General features: G+C 42.2%; 1 protein-coding gene across 12 annotated transcripts in view, besides 1 other annotated feature; it reads right to left on the minus strand.

Moving 5' to 3' along the window:
* The window catches only part of PHF8 (PHD finger protein 8), a 112,257-nt gene that overhangs the window by 63,608 nt on the left and 27,332 nt on the right, over positions 1–21,317 (minus strand). For all 12 annotated transcript variants that reach the window (XM_005261996.2, XM_011530778.2, XM_047441934.1 and 9 more), the window contains 6 exons: positions 17,374–17,534; positions 16,308–16,449; positions 14,090–14,276; positions 10,835–10,997; positions 2,308–2,395; positions 1,868–1,974 (listed from right to left, as the gene is read on the minus strand). In XM_005261996.2, the coding sequence (XP_005262053.1) occupies positions 1,868–1,974; positions 2,308–2,395; positions 10,835–10,997; positions 14,090–14,276; positions 16,308–16,449; positions 17,374–17,534 (848 nt within the window). The remainder of the gene's footprint in view (positions 1–1,867; positions 1,975–2,307; positions 2,396–10,834; positions 10,998–14,089; positions 14,277–16,307; positions 16,450–17,373; positions 17,535–21,317) is intronic.
* Positions 7,476–7,676: a silencer, noted in NCBI's record as "peak7381 fragment used in MPRA reporter construct". NCBI's record gives its function as "represses an SCP1 promoter by STARR-seq MPRAs in K562 erythroleukemia cells {active_cell/tissue: K562}" and the evidence as "EXISTENCE:reporter gene assay evidence [ECO:0000049][PMID:32103011]".

Consider the following 21,317-nt stretch of genomic DNA (forward strand, 5'->3'; position numbering starts at 1 on the left):
TTTGAATCTGAGGCTTGGGCCCCTTCCATGACATTACTGTGCCTCCTGGGTTTCAAAATGAGAACACTCAGGAGGACTATGAGCTCTACCTACACAGACTTTAAGGGCCATTAATGTAGAAGATGGATTAGCTGTGTTCTGCCTTATGTCAGGAGGCTACTACAAACAGCCAGATTTAGGCTCTATAAATAATTTTCTACTGAACCAAGCTGTTTAGAATAAGTAATGAGCAGTTAGTCATCCAGCATCTGATTGAACACTTAAGTGACAGTCTAGGTGGCAGAATAAGAGCTTGAGGTATTGGCTACGAGGCTGTACTCATGGCCCCTGAGATTCTTTATAACTCATCAATACTGATTTCTCCTGGCCAAGTCAACTTGAAGAATCTCAGGCCTAAGTAAGGGACCCATTCTATTCTGGATCAGACAAGGAAAGAGGAAACCCAGTAAGTAAAGTGGCTTCCAACTGGGCTAACGCCCAGGAACCAAAACAATGATGCCAGGACGGTCAGGACTGGGCCTTATCCCCAGGGGAAGCAGATCCAGGAAACTCTCAGACTATCCAAATTGAACTTTTTATCTTAACCAGCAGGAAATAGAGATCATTTCACTGTGATCCAATATTTTCAGTCACACTTGCTAAACAAAAAGGTTAAAATCCATGCCTTGCCATGTATTATGCTGAGTAAAAAAGTGAATCTAAGAAGGTCACGTACTATAATGATTCCATTTATACAATATTTTTGAAATGACAAATTTGGCCAGGCGTGGTGGCTCACGCCTGTAATCCCAGCACATTGGGAGACTGAGGCGGGCGGATCACGAGGTCAAGAGATTGAGACCATCCTGGCCAACATGGTGAAACCCCGTCTCTACTAAAAATACAAAAATTAGCTGGGCACAGTGGCGCGTGCCTATAGTCCCAGCTACTCTGGAGGCTGAGGCAGAAGAATCACTTGAACCCAGGAGGCAGAGTTTGCAGTGAGCAGAGACTGCACCACTGCACTCCAGCCTGGTGACAGAGCGAGACTCCATCTCAAAAAAAAGAAAAAGAAAAAAAAAAAGTATAAAAACTAGCCGAGTGTGGTGGCGGGTGTCTGTAATCCCAGCTACTCAGAAGGCTGAGGTAGGCAAAGCTTGAACCCAGGAGATGGAGGTTGCAGTGAGCCAAGATCACGCCACTGCACTCCAGCCTGGGTGACAAGAGTGAGACTGTGTCTCGGAAAAAAAGAAAAAAGAAATGACAAAATTATAGAAATGGAAAACAGATTAGTGGTTTCCAGAAGTTACGGATGGTACAAGGGAGGAGAGTGGGTGAAACTATAAAGGGACTATAAAGGGGTAGCATTGCTGGGTACTGTGGCTCATGCCTGTAACCCCAGCAAAAGGAGTCTGAGGTGGGAGAATCACTCGAGGCCAGGAGTTTGAGACCAATCTGGTCAACATAACAAGACCCTGTTCATACAAAAAATTTACAAAATTATCCAGGTGTGGGGGCCCATGCCTGTAGTCTTAGCTACTCGGCAAACTGAGGCAGGAGGATTGCCTGAGCCCAGGAGTTTGAAGCTGCAGTGAGCCATGATCACACCACTGCACTCCAGCCTGGGTGACTGAGTGAAATCCTATCTCAAAAAAGAAGGGGCTCGGGGCTGGGCGGGTAGCACTAGGGAGATTTTTTTTAAAGCACTAATTATCACTTTTTAAAAATTGAACATATTTACGGTACACAACATGATTTTAATTTATATACTGAGATCTTTCTGGTAATGAAATAGTATCATGTCTTGACTGCGTTACTTACACATACACACATACTCATTCACTCAGGGGAGAGGGGCAAAAAGGACAGTTGGCAAAGGGCTCCATACCGCGAAAGATGTCCAGGATGTGCTTTCCCACATACCAACAGATGGTCTCAAAGTTGGGGAATCTGAAGAGGTCTGCTGTGCTCAGCCGCTTCTCAATCTCATAGGCTCTAGAAGGAGGAAACACCAACAACAAAAACAAGGATTCATTTACTGAGCACCTACTATGAATCAGGTTTTGTTCTGGATGCTTTGTATCTCTAATCCTCAAAATGACTCTGCAAGATCTGACTTTACACATTAGGAAACTTGGGTTCAAAGGTTATATAACTTGCCCAAAGTCAAATAACTACTAAGTGCAGAAAAGGTGTTAATCTTCAGCTGAACATGATCAGGAACGAGGAACCATTCCTTTCTGGCCATGTCCCCTCCTTCTACATTATACTCCTCACTCTAGCAGACAGGAATGGCCAACATAGAATCACCACAGTTTCAGTACTCACTTGAGCTGCATCTCGATGTTAAGGCTGTGTAAGAAGTTCCCTCCAAAGGCAAGGCAGTCCACAGGCGTCAGCACAGCATGGATCCACCCTGCAGTGTAACAAGGCAAAATCAAAGCTGGAAGAGGGCCTTTCTTCCTCTGATTATCTCCACTACCTACTCATCTCAAACCCAACTCCTTAAGAGCAGTTAGCCTCCAAACTGGCTTCCCAACACCAGATGTTCTCAAGGTGTGGTCCAAGGAATCCTTAGGCTCCCTGAGACTCTTTGAGAGAAGCTGAGATGCCACTCAGAACTATATTCATGAGAATATTATGATGTTCTTTGCCTTTTTCACCCTTATTCTCATGGGTATACAGTGGAGTTTTCCAGGAAGTACATGATGTGACATCCAACAGAATGAAAGCAAAAGCAGATCTGGGGTTCTAACAATTTTTGATTAACCTAGATATTATAGAGATTTGCAAAGATGTAAAACAATGTCATTCTTCCCACTAAACATTTTTGAAAACAGTTTTCATAAAAAAAATTTTATTTATGCTAACATGTAATGGGCTTATAATTATTTTTTAATAAGTTAACAAGTACTTTTAAATTTTCTATTTTAATTTATATGGTAAAAATTGATAAATATAAACCACATAATAAAAAGCTCTTCTGGGTCCTTAATAGTTTTTAAGAGTATAAAGGAATACCGACTGTTTGCAAACCACTGCTCTACAATAATCTCAAATCTATCCTTCACATCCATTCCTAAGCGATATATCTAAAATATAAATTAGGGTCAGGCACAGTGGCTCATGCCTGTAATCCCAGCATTTTGGGAGGCCGAGGCGGGTGGGTCACCTGAGGTCAGGAGTTTGAGACCAGCCTGACCAACATGGCGAAACCCCGTCTCTACTAAAAATACAAAAACTAGCTGGGCATGGTGGCAGGCACCTGTAATCCCAGCTACTCGGGAGGCTGAGGCAGGAGAATCACTTGAACCCGGGAGGCAGAGGTTGCAGTGAGCCGAGATCGCACCATTGCACTCCAGCCTCAGCGACAGGCATGAGCCACTGCACCCGGCCTATATTGTTCTTTATATCTTTTGGTACATCTGAAATATTTCATTAGAAACTAAATAAACCTTCAATGGCCCTCAATCGCCTCTGTGGTAAGTTCAGTCGGCCTACCTTTTCACTTTCATCCACCCCAGCCCTTGCTCTTTAAGCTCTAGTATCCATAAGCTGCTTCACACAGTTTTGGTTTTCTTCCACCTTTCCCTATGTCTGAAATGCCATTCCTGTCTTTCTTTTCATAGTTAATCCCTACTCACCCTTCTAGTGTTGCTCTCCTAAGACTTTCACAAACCTATGGCTAGACTAAGCACTCTTCTCTGTGCTTCCAAAACTAGTGGTGAATACCCCTATTGGTGCTATTGTGGCTAGTAGAATATTATACTGAAACAGCCTATCAATCTTTTGTCCTTAGCACTTAGCCCAATACCAGGGCACACAGTAGACACTCAATGCTTGTGGCCCTAAGTAGATTGCACCCGGTGTGTGGGCATTTCTACCAAGATGTCAATTAATTAACTCAAACCGCTAATGGGCAAATTCAATCCATCAGTTACTAAATGCCCAGTATAGAAAAGTCATTATGGACTAGACCAGGCAAAGGATTCAAAGATGGATGAATAAATGCCTGGGAACAGAAAACTATAAAAGAGAAAAGCAGATGGGGGTGGGAGTTGGGTGGGAGTGAATGACCTGCCTCACCATGTATTAAACATTCTAAAAAACCAATGAAATCGTATCAATAATATTGATAATTGAAGAGAAAAACAGACTTGTAAAACAATAGACAATCCAATATATATAAGACAATATATGGTTAGACAAATATAGAATTATGTAACAAGAATTTGAAAGAAATCATCATAAGAAATCATCATAAGAATACCTTAGTGAGCAATTCCAAACATGCTTGACACAAAAATAGGAAATAGAAATTCTCAGCAAAGAAATACACAAGAAACAAAAGAAAATTTTAGAAATGAAAAGTACTGTATCTGGGCCAGCTGTGGTGGCTCACGCCTGTAATCCCAGCACTTTGGGAGGCCGAGGTGGGTATATCACGAGGTCAGGAGCTTCAGACCAGCCTGATCAGCATGGTGAAACCCTGTCTCTACTAAAAATATAAAAATTAGCCGGGCATGGTGGTGCGTGCCTGTAATCTACTTGGGAGGCTGAGGCAGGAGAATCACTGGAACCCAGGAGGCAGAGGTTGCAGTGAGTTGAGATCACGCCACTGCACTCCAGCCTGGGTGCTAGAGAGAAACTCTGTGTCAAAAAAAAAAAAATACTGTATCTAAAATTAATGCAATTGACAAACTCAACAGAAGAATGGAGACAACAGAAGAAAGAAACAGAAAATGCAAAGACAGAGAAACCGAAATTACCCAATCTGAACTTGAACAAAGAGAAAAAAGACACAGAAAAATAAACTCAAGGACTTGCGGGACTAAGACAAGATACAAAACATTCATGTAATCAGAGATCCAGCAGAAGTTAGAGCATGAGTCTAAAAAAGTATTTCAAGAAATAATGGCAGCCTGGCGCGGTGGCTCATGCCTGTAATCCCAGCACTTTGGGAGGCCAAGGCAGGCAGATCACCTGAGGTCAGGAGTTCAAGACCAGCATGGCCAATATGGTGAAACCCTGTCTGTACTAAAAATACAAAAATTAGCAGGGCATGGTGGCACATGCCTGTAATCCCAGCTGCTCGGGAGGCGGACACTGCAGTGAGCCGAGATCGCTCCACTACACTCCAGCCTGAGCAACAGAGTGACACTCCCTCTCAAAAAAAAAAAAGAAAGAAAGAAAGAAAAGAAAAAAAAAGGAAAAGAAATAATGGCTAAAAATTTCACATATACAGCAAAAGACATAAACCTACACATTCAAGAAGCTCAGTGAACACATTCAGCATTATAAACCCAAAGAAATCCACACCAAAAAAAACACAGCATGGCCAAACTGCAGAAAACTTAAAAAAAAAAAAAAAAAAGAATGAAAGCATCAAGAAATGATACATTATCTATAGGGGAAAAACAATTCAGATGATAGCCAAAATCTCATCAGAAACCACAGAGGCCAGAACGAAACAGCAAAACATTCTTTAGGTGTTGAAAGAAAAGAACTATTAACCCAGAGTTCTATATCCAGAAAAATATCCTTCAGGAATGAAAGAAAAAAAAAATCAAGACATTTACTGATGGAAAAAAACTAAGAACTTGTCGACAGTAGACCTACCCTGAAACTCTAAAGACCAGAAAGGAAAACAGAATAAACAGATGAGTAAAAACATGGGTGAATACCATAGAATTTCCTTCTCTTGAGTTTTCTAAATTATGTTTCATAGGGAAAGCAAAAATTATAAAACTTTGTGATACAGTTCTCAACATACGCAGAGGATAGTAGCCCTCTTGGTGTAGTGGGTAGCACGTCAATCTCATAATCAATGTATGAAGAGAAATATTTAAGACAAATACATGGAAAAATGTAAAACATGACTAATTGTAGAAAAATGCGAAGGATAAAGGGATGTAAAAAGAGGTAAGGTTTTGGGCCCGGTGCGGTGACTCACGCCTATAATCCCAGCACTTTAGGAAGCCGAGGTGGGTGGATCACTTGAGCTCAGGAGTTCAAGACCAGCCTGGGCAACATGGCAAAACCCCATCTCCACTAAAACTAAAAAAATCAGCCAGACGTGGTAGTGTACATCTGTGGTCCCAGCTACTTGGGAGGCTGAGGTGGGAGGATTGCTTGAGCCTGGGAGGTCAAGGCTGTGGTGAGCTGTCATCTTACCACTGCATTCCAGGCTGGGTGACAGAATGAGATTCTGTCTCAAAAAAAAGAGGTATGGTTTCAACCCTTCCCTCAAACAGGTAATATGTAAATACTAGTAGACTGTGATATGCTATGTATGTATAAAGTAATAATTAGAGCAAACACTACAAAATAACTAGAAAACCTATATGAAAGCTGAACCAAAAAATTCTTATGAAAATTCAGGGGACCGGCTGGGCCCTGTGGCTGACGCCTGTAATCCCAGCACTTTGGGAGGCCAAGGCAGGTGGATCACCTGAGGTCTAGAGTTCGAGACCAGCTGAGCCAACATGGTGAAACCCCGTCTCTACTGCAAATACGAAAAAATTAGCCGGGCATGGTGACGGGTGCCTGTAATCCCAGCTACTCGGGAGGCTAAGGCAGGAGAATCGCTTGAACCCAGGAGGCTGAGGTTGCAGTGAGCTGAGACCGCAACCATTGCACTCCAGCCTCAGCAACAAGAACAAAACTTCATCTCAAAAAAAAAAAAAAAAAAAAATTCAAGGGGCCAAATAATCCTGAAAAAGAAAAAGTTGGAGCACTGGCACTTCCCAATTTCAAAACTTACTACAAATGTACAATAATTGAGATGGTGTGACACTGTTAGAAGGATCAACAGAATAGAATTCAAGGTCCAGAAATAAACCCTTATCTTTGGTCAACAGATTTTTGACACAGGTGTCAAGACAATTCAATGGGGAAAGAACAGTCTTTTCAAAAGGTTCTGGGACAACTAGAACTACATACAAAAGAAAGAAATTGGACCCTTACCTCATACCATACACAAAATCAATATAAATCAAAATGGATGAAAGATCTAAATGTAAGAACTAAAACTATAAAATGCTTAGAAGAAAACATAGGCATAAATCTTCATGACCTTGAATTAAGCAAGCCTCTTAGACACCAAAAGCATAAGCAAATAAAGAAAAAAAAATAGATAAATTGGGCATCAAAATTTGTAACTTTTGTCCTTCATAGGACACTATCAAAAAAGTGACAAGACAACCCCAAGAATGAGAGAAAATATTTGCAAATCACATATCTGGTAAAAGTCTAGTATCCAAAGTATATAAATTCTTGTAACTCAACAATGAAGAGACAATCTAATTAAAGAATGGGCAAAAGATTTAAATAGATATTTCTCCAAAAAAAACTATACAAGTGTCCAATGAACATTTGGAAAGATGTTAAACATCAAAGGTCATCCAGAAAACAGAAATCAAAACCTCAATGAGATACCACTTTACGCCCATTAGGATGGCTATAATCATAAAGAGACAGCAATAAGCATTGGGGGAAGATGTGAAGACACTGAAATTCTCATACATTACTGTTGAGAATATAAAATGGTACATGTAGCTGCTTTGAAAACAGTTTGTCAGTTCCTCAAAAAGTTAAACACAGAGTTACATATGACTCAGCAATTCCCCTCCTAGATATATACCCAAGAGAAATGAAAACTTACGTTCACACAATAACTCGTACACGAATGTTCATAGCAACACTATTCATAACAGCCAAAAAGTGCAAACAACTCAAATGTCTATCAACTGACTAATGGATAAACAAAATGTGGCATATCCACACCACAGAATATTATTCAGCTGTTAAAAAGAACGAAGTGGTCGGCGCAGTGGCTCACACCTGTAATCCCAGCACTTTGGGAGGCTGAGGCAGACAGATCACGTGGTCAACAGATTGAGACCATCCTGGCCAACATGGTAAAACCCCGTCTCTACTAAAAACACAAAAATTAGCTGGGCATGGTGGCGCATGCCTGTAGTCCCGGCTATGCGGGAGGCTGAGGCCAGAGAATCGCTTGAACCTGGGAGGCGGAGGTTGCAGTGAGTGGAGATCGCGCCACTGCACCACTGCACTCCAGCCTGGCAACAGAGCAATACTCCGTCAAAAAAAAAAAAAAAAAAAAAAAGATGCACTCGCCAGGGAGCAGGAGTAGCTCACGCCTGTAATCCCAGCACTCTGGGAGGCCTAGGTGGGTGGATCACCTGAGGTTGGGAGTTCGAGACCAGCCTGGCCAATATGGTGAAACCCCATCTCTACTAAAAATACAAAAATTACCCAGGCCAGTGGTGGCAGGTGCCTGTAATCCCAGCTATTCAGGAGGCTGAGGCAGGAGAATCGCTTCAGCTTGGGAGGTAGAGGTTGCAGTGAGCCAAGATCGCGCCACTGCACTCCAGCCTGGACATACTGATAAATGCTGTAACATGGATGATTCTTGAAAACATTACAAGTGAAAGAAGCTAGACACAAAAGACAACATATTACAACATTCCATCTATATGAAATATTCAGAAGGGCAAATCCATACACAAATGAAGTGAAAAAGGGGTTGTCAAGGGCTGGCAGACAAATGAATAAAGAGTGACTGCTAATGAGTATAGGGTTTTTTTAAAAAACAATGAACATTCGGGCCGGGCACAGTGGCTCACGCCTGTAATCCCAGCACTTTGGGAGGCTGAGACGGGTGGATCACCTGAGGTCAGGAGTTCAAGACCAGCTTGGCCAACATGGGTGAAACCCCATCTCTATTAAAAACACAAAAATTAGCCGGGTGTGGTAGCACAAGCCTGTAGTCCCAGCTACTCGGGAGGCTGAGGCAGGAGAATCACTTGAACCCGGGAGGCGGAAGTTGCAGTAAGCCGAGATTGTGCCACTGCACTCCAGCCTGGGTAACAGAGTGAGACTCCATCTCAAAAAGGAGATAAATAACATAATGAACATTCTCTGGTATTAAATAGCAGTGATGTTGCACAACCTTGTAAATATACAAAGAACTGAATTGTACCCTTTAAAATGGTAAATTTTACAATATTTAAGATGTATCTCAATTTTTCAAAACCTCATTTAACTTAATGAAAATACAACATGTCAATATTTGTGTGACACACCTAAATCAATGCTGAGAGGGAAATTTAGGGAAAGCCTGAAATCAATAAACTAAGCTCTCATCTCAAGACTAGAAAAAGAACAAAATAAACCCAAAGCAAGCAGAGGGAAGGAAAAATAAAGATAAAAGCAGAAATCAACACAACTGAAAACAAAAAGACAACAGAGAAAAATCAATAAAACCAAAAGTGGGCCGGGTGCGGTGGCTCACCCCTGTAATCCCAGCACTTTGGGAGGCCAAGGCAGGCAGATCATGAGGTCAGGAGATCAAGACCATCCTGGCCAACACGGTGAAACCCCAACTCTACCAAAAATACAAAAATTAGCCAGGCGTGGCAGCAGGCACCTGTAATCCCAGCTACTCAGGAGGCTGAGGCAAGAGAATCACCTGAACCTGGGAGGCGGAGGTTGCAGTGAGCCGGGATCGCACCACTACACTCCAGCCTGGGTGACAGAGTGAGACTCTGTCTCAGAAAAAAAAAAAAAAAAAAAAAAAAAAAAAAAAAAAAAGTGGCTCTTTGGAAAGATCAATAAAATTGACCAACCTATAGAAAATTGACACAAACAAAAGAGAAAGCACAAATAACTAACGTCAGGAATGATACAAAGAATACCACTAGAGACTTGGAAGACATCAAAAGGGTAATAAGAAAATACTATGGCTGGGTGCGGTGGCTCACGCCTATAATCCCAGCGCTTTGGGAGACTGAGGCGGGTGGATCACCTGAGGTCAAGGTCAGAAGTTCGAGACCAGCCATGGCCAACATGGTAAAACCCCATCTCTACTAAAAATACAAAAATTAGCCGGGCGTGGTAGTGCAAGCCTGTAATCCCAGCTACCCAGGAGGCTGAGGCAAGAGAATCTCTTGAGCCTGGGATGCAGGCAGTGGTCACAGTGAGACGAGATCGCATCACTGCACTCCAGCCTGGGTGACAAGAGTGAAACTCCATCTCAAAAAAAAGAAAACACTATGAACAACTCCACACATATATTTGACAATTTAGATTAAATAGACCAATTCCTTGAAGAGCAGATGATCGCAACTTATTTAATATGAAATAGAAAATCTGAATAACCTTAAAGATTTTTTAAATTGAATGTTAATTTAAAACTTCCCAAGAAAACAAATCTCCAGGCATATGTGATTGCACTAGAGAATTCTACTATACATTTTAAGAAAATTTAACACTAATTCTGATTAAAGAAATCAAAGAAAATCTAAATAAATGGAGAGATACCCTGTATTCATATAAGACCTAATCAAGTAAAGATGTCAACTCTCCCCAAATTGAGACAACTGGGGGATTTTTTCACAATAAATATACTCAGATCCCACCCAAGACCTAAGAATTCATAATTCTAAGAGTGAAGCCCAGGTACAAACTGTTTAGGGAAAAAAAGCACTATCCCCACCACAGGTCATTCTGACTTAGAGCCTAGAATGCCAGCCTCCCAGGCACTATCCCTAGAGTTACGGGGCTTAGAGTCATGTTCTCTGTTCACCCAGATGACATCAACCCAGGACAAAGAAGTCCATCAGCCTCCTCCTGGACATTCCCCACTTTCAGCCTCCCCAGGTGACCATGCTGCCCACTGACTACCACATGAAATTTCTTGAAGCCCAGTTCTGCGCCTTTCGCTGATATGAGAAAGACATCCCACGTAATCAGATTAATATGCTGTGGGGCCAAAAGCTCCCTTCTTCTTTCCACCCTCCCCAAACCCTCCCAGAAGCACCCAAGGGAAGACCTGTGGGAATGAAAAGTGTCTGTCCTTGCTTCACGGAACACTTGTAGCACTTGTCCACCTGGTCCCCAAAGAACATCTCATTCTGATTAGAGGAACTGCTCCAGCACTCAAAGAGAGTCAGATTGGCATTTGTTGGGCGGATCAGGTAGAAGATCTTTTCACCCTGAAACAAAAAGAGGTTGAAGTGACAAAAATACCAAGGGTTTCCAGAAAAGTCCTTAACGGGTACTCCAAAGGGGTATTTCTCCCATGCTCCAAAACGATGGCAATATGCCAGAGTTCTTGCCCAAACCCATCCAATTATCATTTCTTTGTGGATTTGGAAAACTTCAAAAGGTCACTTTGCTTTTTGTACTTTTAAGTTTCTATAAACTTGACAAAAACAAATTGGAAAGGGCATTTCAAACAAAATTGTTCAAGTTAAGACATATGTACACCAAGTGTTCCTATTTTAGACACAATGCCAAATAAAGAATGGCCTCTACAGATGAGTAGATCAATACTAGTAGCCTTAGGAGAATTTAAGGCCACATTACTGATGAGAAGAAAATTGAATTTGCCTTCAAATGCCATTTACAGAGTGTTCCTTCCCACACCTGCAATCAAAGCTAATAAAAGTTTAAAAGTTCAGTAATCGCCCAAGGACTTCTGGAAGATTATATGTTATGTGATTATCTTTTGGAAGAACATTTATTTCCTAATTGTGTTTTGCCTGGATAAACACCAGAAAGATAATTTGGCAAAAAAAAAAAAAAAAAAAGAAAGAAACAAAAACCCAGTAGCACAAATATATTCTCACAGCATGATTGGTTTAACCAGTATTTCATGATAATAAATTTCAATGTAGAAAAGTAACACTAGAAATATCAGGTGTACAACCGGAGAATTTTGAATCAGGTCTGTAGATTAGGTACTAGTATATCAATGTTAACTTCCTGATTTTGATAACTATACAAATTATTTAAGACTTTGTCTTTGTTTTTAAGACAAAGTTTTAAGACAAACTTGTAGTTAAGAACTACAACTGAATTATTAAGATATAAAGAAATATTATGTCTTTACGCACAAATGTCTCAGGAAAAAAATATATATATAACCATTTTATTGTGTTTGCTTTAGAGAGAGAATATAATAAAATGGTAACATTTGAGGAATCTCAGGGAAGGGCAGACAGACATTCTTCCCATTATTTTTTAACTTTTCTATAAAATGAAATTATTTTAAAATAAAAGAGTTAAACCTAACATTTGCATAATAGCACTTTCATTTACACATTCTACTTCCTAAATGATAAACCAATGGAAACAACTAGGTAAGGACTTGTGATCACTTGGACAAGAGCCACAATCCAAGTTTTCCATTCTTTCCTTTGACTTTTCTGATAAGAAAACTAGGCCAGGCATGTTGGCTCAAGCCTGAAATCTCAGCACTTTGGGAGGTTGAGGCAGGAAGATCACTTGAACCCAGGAGTTCGAGTCCAGCCTGGGCAACACAGTGGGACTCTGTCTCTACAAAAAATAAAGTAAAAAAATTGTCTGGACACAGTGGCTCACGTCTGTAATCCTAGCACTTTGAGGGCCAAGGTGGGAAGACTGCTGGAGCTCAGGAGTTTGAGACCAGCCTGGGCAACATAGTGAGAGCTAGTCTCTACAAAAATAATTTTTTTTAATTAGCCAGAAGTGGTGGTGCACACCTGTAGTCCCAGCTACTTGGGAGGCTGAAGTGGGAGGACAGCTTAAGCACAGCAGGTCGAGGCTGCAGTGAGCCATGATCATGCCACTGCACTCCAGCCTGGGTGACAAAGTGAGAGACTGTCTCAAAAAAAAAAAAAAAAAAGGTAAAAAAAATTAGCTGGGAGTGATGGCATGCACCTATAGTCCCAGCTACTCAGGAGGCTGAGGTGGGAGGATCCCTTGAGCCCAGGAGTGAGAGGCTGCAGTGAGTTATGACTGCACCACCACACTCCAGCTTGGGTGACAGAGACAGATTCTGTTTCTAAGAAAAAAATAATAATAATAAAAAAGAAAACTAAATAATCTGAACAATGGTGAAAACCAAAATCATTTAAGAAATTTGTTTTCCAGACCTCAAAAATCCTTCATAGTCACTGACAATACACTAATTACAAAATTGTAACAATTACTAAAAATGAAACTATGGAAATCCTGACTTTAAAAAGACTTCTCATACAGGTTTTATCTTGACTGTGGTGGCAGTTAAATGACTATATACAACTGACAAAATTCATCAAATTGTACAATTAAAATGGATGAATTTTATAGTATATAAATTATACCTCAATAATGTTGGAGAAAGGGAAGTTTCTCATGTTACCAGGAATTTCCAAAGTAAATGTGGACATTTCCATACATGCTGATATGAGTATAAACTGGTTCAATTAAGAAGGTAAGAACGGCTGGGTGCAGTGGCTCACGACTGTAATCCCAACACTTTGGGAGGTGGAGGCAAGCAGATCACTTCAGGTCAGGCGTTCGAGACCAGCCTGGCCAACATGGTGAAACCCCGTCTCTACTAAAAATACAAAAATTAGCTAGGCGTGGTGGTGGGCGCTTATAATCCTAGCTACTTGGGAGGCTGAGGCAGAAGAATCGCCTGAACCCGGGAGGCAGAGGTTGCAGTGAGCTGAGATCACGCCACTGCAGTCCAGCACTGGCAACTGTCATCTTAGGTGACAGAGCAAAACTCCATCTCAAATAAATAAATAAAATCTTTGTTTTTACTCTGCCTCAACAACAACAAAAAAGAAGGTAACAACCAGGAAAACCTCAGGCATCTGCTATTATTCAAAAACGTTTGATTCGTCAAACATTTTTGAATCAATTTTTTTTTTTAAGATGGAATCTCGTTCTGTCGCCCAGGCTGGAGTGCAGTGGCACAATCTCGGCTCACTGAAAGCTCCACCTCCCAGGTTCATGCCATTCTCCTGCCTCAGCCTCCCAAGTAGCTGGGACTACAGGCGCCTGCCACCAAGCCCGGCTAATTTTTTTTATTTTTAGTAGAGATGGGGTTTCACCGTGTTAGCCAGGATGGTCTCAATCTCCTGACCTCGTGATCCGCCCGCCTCGGCCTCCCAAAGTGCTGGGATTACAGGCGTGAGCCACCGCGCCCGGCCAAATCAAATTTTTTTTATTCAAAATGTAAATCAAACTGATTCAAAATGTTTCTGTGCTGCCATGTGACACGTACAGGGAGGCCCAAGGCCTGGCTGCCTCCAGAAGCCATGCGCATTCCTACCTTGAGTACATGGTACCAGACAGAGGTGCCACCAAAGTCAATGTGAAAGTCTGTATAGCTATCTCGCACACTCATGAGGCAGTACTTCTGTACATTGGGTCTCTCAAAGACACATTCCTCTGGCCACAAGTTTTCGACCCATGACAGCTTTCGAACAATCTTCGGTGTCTCCACAAGGTTAGAAAGTCTACCAAGGAAGGGGTGGAGAGCAGATGTCAGCTGATTAGGAAGAGAAGATTGAGGCCTGAATAAAATACCCCACAGTTCAGTGAGGGTCAGATAAGTCAGAGAACAAGTTCCCTCCACAGAATCCCCAAAGGCACATAGGACACTTATTTCTGTTCTGTAAGTCTGGTCAGTATCCTCATTCTACTCATCTCCAGAAGTCCCAAGTCCAAGCTCCACAGGCTTCTCCAGTCAAAGGTGTTCATTTCCTCCACTAAATGCTCATACTCCCCAGCCCCACTCCAGACTACTCACTTGGCATGTGGATTATAGAAGTTATTGCACTATCCCCATCTCATAGTGTCTTCTTTATGAGAAACCACTAGAGCAACCTCACAGGGCTCAGTTCCAGGTAAAGAAATGTTTCTCTGAAACATCTGTTGCTTTTATCCTACGTAAAGCCACAAATCTTACAATACTGCACTCCTCTCTTTGTTCTGACCTTCAGGAAATTCACTGAAAACTCTATAGTCCATTTCCACCAACCGGGAAATGTGCTGAGCACCCACCACATGCATTCTATTTCCCAATCTTATTTCACTTTTGTTCTAGTTTTCTCTCTTTTTTTTTTGGCTTCTCCACATCTCTGTAAGCTACCTTGAATAGTCTTTCAGGATGAAGTGAAGTATAAACAAACAAATACAGTTTTTAAACACTCTCAGGTTGTTTAACCTTGCATCTTAAAAACAACAGCGCCGGGCGCGGTGGCTCACACCTGTAATCCCAGCGCTTTGGGAGGCCGAGGTGGGTGGATCACGAGGTCAGGAGATCGAGACCATCCTGGCTAACACAGTGAAACCCCGTCTCTACTAAAAACATAAAAAATTAGCCGGGTGTGGTCGCAGGTGCCTGTGGTCCCAGCTACTCGGGAGGCTGAGGCAGGAGAATGGCGTGAACCAGGGAGGCGGAGCTTGCAGTGAGCCGAGATCATGCCACTGCACTCCAGCCTGGGTGACAGAGCGAAACTCCGTCTCAAAAAAAAAAAAAAAAAAAAAACACAACAGCAAGGGTCTTAATATTGTACCGTAATTACATAATACGTTACCATTGAGGGAAAGTGGCTAAAGAGTACACAGGACCTCCCTGTACACTTTTTTGCAACTTCCTATCAATCTACAAATTAAAAGTTAAAAATGTAAATAATCAGACAGTAAGTTTCCTAAGGGCAAAAAGATACATTATGATTTCTTGGTATTTCCCACATTTCTGACCCAAAGAGAAGACTATATACGTATCTACTGTGTGTGTGAGTCCAGATAGAATCATTTAAAGGTAAATAGGTTTCTCTTTTTCTTTTTAAATGTAAGAAACCTACATGGGGGTAATTTTAGTAAATCTATTTCCAGGAACTGAGGACCTATCCCACCAGTTACACAGTGACTGTGGCACTGTTGTATATAGGAGGAAAAGGTCAAAGAAGGGTGTCCTAAGGTCTTGAAAAAGGAGACAAAAATTAATTAAAATAGCTACTATGTAATCTATCCAATGCTAGAAACTGTGGAGGAGAAATATGACTCAACTGTTACAACGTGAGCAGCTACCCTAGAAAATATAACCCAGCTCGCCATCCCAAAGGAAGAAACCACCAGGAAGAAGAGAAAGGAACACGAGGCAAGGTGCGGTGGCTCATGCCTGTAATCCTAGTACTTTGGGAGGCCAAGGCGGGCAGATCACCTGAGGTAGGGAGTTCGAGACCAGCCTGGCCAACATGGTGAAACCCCATCTCTACTAAACATACAAAAATTAGCCAGGCATGGTGGCGGGCGCCTGTAATCCTAGCTACTCAGGAGGCTGAGGCAGGAGAATTGCTTGAACCCAAGAGGCGGAGGTTGCAGTGAGCCAAGATCGTGCCACTGTACTCCAGCCTGGGCGACAGAGCAAGACTCTGTCTCAAAAAAAAAAAAAAAGAGAGAGAAACACGAATATACACTAGATATATCACACAAGTTTCAGGCACTTTGTCAGGTTTTTTTGTTATTCCTGCACCTCTTACCTGGTATCAGAGAATTCCAAACTAATGACATTGAGGACTTTCTCCCTCTTCCCGCTGTAATAGTATTTCACAAAATCACCAAGCTTCATCTTGCAGTCAGCCTGGCGGGTCACATCAATCACATCAATCTCTTTGTCAGAACCTGGAGTAAAGAGATAGGTTCTGCACCAAGTAGTCTCAGGGACTGTGGAAGACTCTCTTGTCCCCTCATCAGTCCCTAGAATGGCCTTACACTCAAAGCTTCTCTCCACTGACACTGTACATATATGTGTGTGTTTGTTTGGGGGGCAGGGGAAGGAACCCATCGCACTTTCCTTAGATCTATGTGCCCTGCTAGGGCAATGGAACTACCAGACACACAGCCTCACACATAGTAGTCCATCTGCCTGGGCCTTGCTTCTCCATTTCTTCTCTTCCTCTCCCCAGAAACTCATGCCCAGACAACAAGTGGCATGTGAGAACAACAGTCAAAAGCTTTCTCATTTCAACAGAAGACAGACAATGATCCCTAGAACTTCCCAGGTAAAAAACGGAGCTCAACCTGGGGTTTTATGGACTATTAAAAGGAGAAGGGGCTGGGCGTGGTGGCTCACGCCTGTAATCCCAGTTGGGAGGCCGAGGCAGAAAGATCGCTTGAGCCCAGTAGTTGGAGATCAGCCTGGGCAACATAGTGTGACATCATCTCTACAAAAAATAAACAAAACTAGCTAGGCATGGTGGTGCATCCCTGTAGTCTCAGCTACTCAGGAGGTTGAGGTTTGAGGATCCCTGGAGCCCAGGAGGAGGTGGAGGCTGCAGTGAGTTAATTGCGCCACTGTACTCCAGCCTGGGCAACAGGGCGAGACCCTGTCTCTGATAAACGAATGAGTGAATGCATGAAAGGAGAACAAAGAGGAGACTAGGATTTTGACTCTATCTCTGCCAAAGAATGACTTTGGACAAGGCATTTCACCTGAGATTCCCAAGATGGTTACAGAGGAAATGCAAAAACAGATTGGAGGGGAAGGGACACAGATCTTGACAGGAATGAACAATGTTACAGTTAAAAGGGTCTGTAGTGTCTTACCAACATAGTGTTCAACATCCCTCACAGTGAATGATGGCGAGGGCAGCGTCATGCCCAACCCATCCTTCTTCAGGACCAGGATGGGCACACTGAAGCTATTTTCTTCCAGGAATTCCACGGTCAGTTGATTTCCAGTGGGCTTCAGAATCACTTCATCTGAGCTGTGGGCCGCAGGAGAGAAAGCTTGAGCCTGAGGCCCTGCCCACTAAAGGCCTTATTGGAGGCTGCCACTCACCCAAGAGGTGGGGTTTTTATGAGGGGACTTAATGTGAGCTGGCAACTAATGCCAAAAACCTCATCTGCCAGGGAAGAAATGATCTGTCCAAGGCAAGAGACCAGGTCACTGGCAGAGGTGGGGAGTATTCTGCCAACATGGTGCTCTTCTCTGGGTGACAAGAAGAAATCAGTCAACAGCCTGGCCAGAAAGAAAAGACACATCTGACAAGTTTGACAGATTTGTTCAAACCAAGAGCAGCATTACCCAATTTAAAACACTGTCAAAGAGAAAAGACTGATTTAAACAAAACAACAACATTTTTACAACAACTTTCTCAACATGCATATACAACAACTTTCTCAACGTGCATACTTAATGAGTTTCAGCCTGGGCATCATTTCTAAACCCGTCTCCACAAAAAAATTCAAAATTAGCAGGGCATGGTGGTGCAGGCCTACAGTCCTACGTACTTGGGAGGCTGAGGCAGGAAGATCACTTGAACCCAGGAGTTGAGGTTACAGTGGGCTTTGAACATGCCACTGCACTCCAGCCTGGGTGACAGAGAGAGTCCCTGTCTTTTTTTTTTTTTTTTTTTTAAAGAAAAGAAAGAAAATAGTTTTCTTTAAATCATGGTGCAGAAAATAGTTTTCTTTTAAATCATGGTGGAGGAAAGATTTGTATTTGACAACTCTGACAACTTGTGTTGGGACAAATATATTAAGCTCAAGCTCAATGCCTATCTCATTCTTTTTTTTTTTTTGAGACAGAGTTTTGCTCTTGTTGCCCAGGCTGGAGTGCAATGGCACAATCTCGGCTCACCACAACCTCCGCCTCCAGGGTTCAAGCGATTCTCCTACCTCAGCCTCCCGACTAGCTGGGATTACAGGCATGCGCCACCACGCCCAGCTAATTTTGTATTTTTAGTAGATAGGGGATTTCTACATGTTGGTCAGGCTGGTCTTGAACTCCCGACCTCAGGTGATCTGCCCGCCTCAGCCTCCCAAAGTGCTGGGATTACAGGCATGAGCCACTGTGCCTGGCCTGCCTATCTCATTCTTTACATAATCCTAGATGGTCCAAAGATTAAATTCCAAAAAATAAAGCTTTAAGAGTAGAAAAACCTGGGAAAAACCCAGCAGTCATTAAAAATAGTAATAAACTTAACCATATAGAAATTAAAATTTTCTCCAAGAAAGCTGTTATAAATCAGTAATAGTAACACAACAGAATGCCTATAAAACAAGCAAGTAGTTCACAGAGAAAACAATCAAGCTGGTTTATAAATGTATGAAATCTAAGGCTGAGTGCAATAGCTCACAACTGTAATCCCAGCACTTTGGGAGGCCAAGGAAGGCAGATTGTTTGAGCCCAGGAGTTGGAGACCAGCCTGGGCAACATGGCAAAACCCCGTCTCTACAAAAAATACAAAAAAAAAATTAGCTGGGCGTGGTGGCACACACCTGTAGTCCCAGCTACCCAGGAAGCGCAGGTGGGAAGATGGATTAAGCTAGGGAGGTCAGGGCTGCAGTGAGTGGTGATTGCACCACCCGACTCCAGCCTGTCTCAAATGAGACCCTGTCTCAAAAAAAAAATCTACTTATTTCCTTCATAATTAAAGAAATACAAGTGTGAGCTGAGTACAGTGGCTCACACCTGTAATCCCAGCACTTTGGGAGGCCAAGGTGGGCAGATCCCTTGAGGTCAGGAGTTTGAGACCAGCCTGGCCAGCATGGTGAAACCCCATCTCTACTAAAAATACAAAAATTAGCTGGGCATGGTGGTACGTGCCTGTAATCCCAGCTACTTGGGAGGCTGAGGCAGAATTGCTTGAACCCAGGAGGCGGAGGGTGCAGTGAGCTGAGATTGCACCACTGCACTCCAGCCTAGCCAACAGAGCAAGACACCGCCTCAAAAAAAAAAAAAAAAAAAAGAAAGAAAGAAAAGAAGTACAAGTGGGAACAGCAGGATTTCACGATTTATTTTATCAGAAAGGCAAAAAAAAAATTGATAATAAATAATATTGGTGGCTGGGCACGGTGGCTCACACCTGTAATCCCAGGACTTTGGGAGGCCAAGGCGGGTGGATCACCTGAAGTCAGGAGTTCAAGACCAGCCTGGCCAACATGGTAAAAACCCCGTCTCTACTAAAAATACAAAAATTAGCCGGGCGTGGTGGCAGGCGCCAGTAATCCCAGCTACTCGGGGTGCCGAGGCAGGAGAATCGCTTGAACCCAGGAGGCGGAGGTTGCAGTGAGCCGAGATCACGCCATTGCACTCCAGCCTGGGGGACAAGAGCGAGACATCGTCTCAAAATAAATAAATAAATAAAATAAAACAAACAAACAAACAAATATTGGCTAGGATATAGGAAAATCGGCACCCTCCGCACATTATCTGTGGGAGTGTGAAATGGTATAGCCACTATGGATGTAACTGGCAACGTATGCAAAAACTTAAGTGCAAAGATATTCATTACAGTATTTCTTTCTAATAGCAAAATACTGGAATCAACTTAAACGTCCCTCAGTAGAGGACTGGTTAAATAAATGTTACACCATGCAATGTAATATTAAACAGCCATGAAAAAGAACATCTGTATGTGCTATTATGGATTGATCTCAAATATATATTTTTTTAAAAAAAAGCAAGATACAGAACAATATATAGTTGTTTCCATTTGTGTCAAAAAAAGGAATTAAAAAAATCTATGTTTGTATATGCAAAAACCATTTCTGAAAGGATCTACAAATAACGGGTTGACTTTGGAGAAAGAACCTGAGGAGTCCAGAGTAGAGAGGAGAAGTTTCTGCCTTTAAATAAACAAATAAAACAAGAAACATTAAGTTGAAGGAACACTTATTCCAATTAACACTTTGGTTACAGAAAACCTGAAAAGAAGTAAAAAAAAAAATAACAGATCCTGATAAGCCTGCAGAGCAAAGGGAATACTTATACCATGTTAGTGGGAATGTAAATTAGTTCAGCCACCATGGAAAGCAGTTTGGAGATTTCTCAAAGAACTTAAAAGAGAACTACCATTCGACCCAGCAATCCCATTACTGGATTTACACCCAAAGGAAAATAAACCATCTACTAAAAAGACGAATGCACTGATATGTCTGCAGCACTATTCACAATAGTAAAACATGGAATCAAACTAGGTGCCCATCAACAGTGGAATGGATAAAGAAAAGTGTGGTACATATATATCATGGAATACTACATAGCCATAAAACAGAAGGAAATCATGTCCTTTTCAGTAACATGGATGCAGCTGGAGACCATTATCGTAAGCCAATTAATGCAGGAACAGAAAATCAAATACTGCTTTTGTTCTCACTTTTAAGTAGGAGCTAAACATTGGGTACACATAGACAAAGATGGGAACAATAGATACTGGGGACCACTCAAGTTGGGAGGGAGGTAGTAGGGAAGGGGCTGAAAAACTAGCTACTGGGTACTATGTTCACTACTTGGGTGATGGGACCATTTGCACCCCAAACCTCACACATGCAATATACCCACGTAAACAAACCTGCACATGTACTTCCTGAATCTAAAATCAAAGTTGCAATTATTTTTTTTTTTTTTTTTTTTTTTTTTTTTTTTGAGACGGAGTCTCGCTCTGTCGCCCAGGCTGGAGTGCAGTGGTGGGATCTCGGCTCACTGCAAGCTCCGCCTCCCGGGTTCACGCCATTCTCCTGCCTCAGCCTCCCGAGTAGCTGGG

Source organism: Homo sapiens, chromosome X (genome assembly GCF_000001405.40).
Source record: "Homo sapiens chromosome X, GRCh38.p14 Primary Assembly".
NCBI classification, from domain to species: domain Eukaryota; kingdom Metazoa; phylum Chordata; class Mammalia; order Primates; family Hominidae; genus Homo; species Homo sapiens.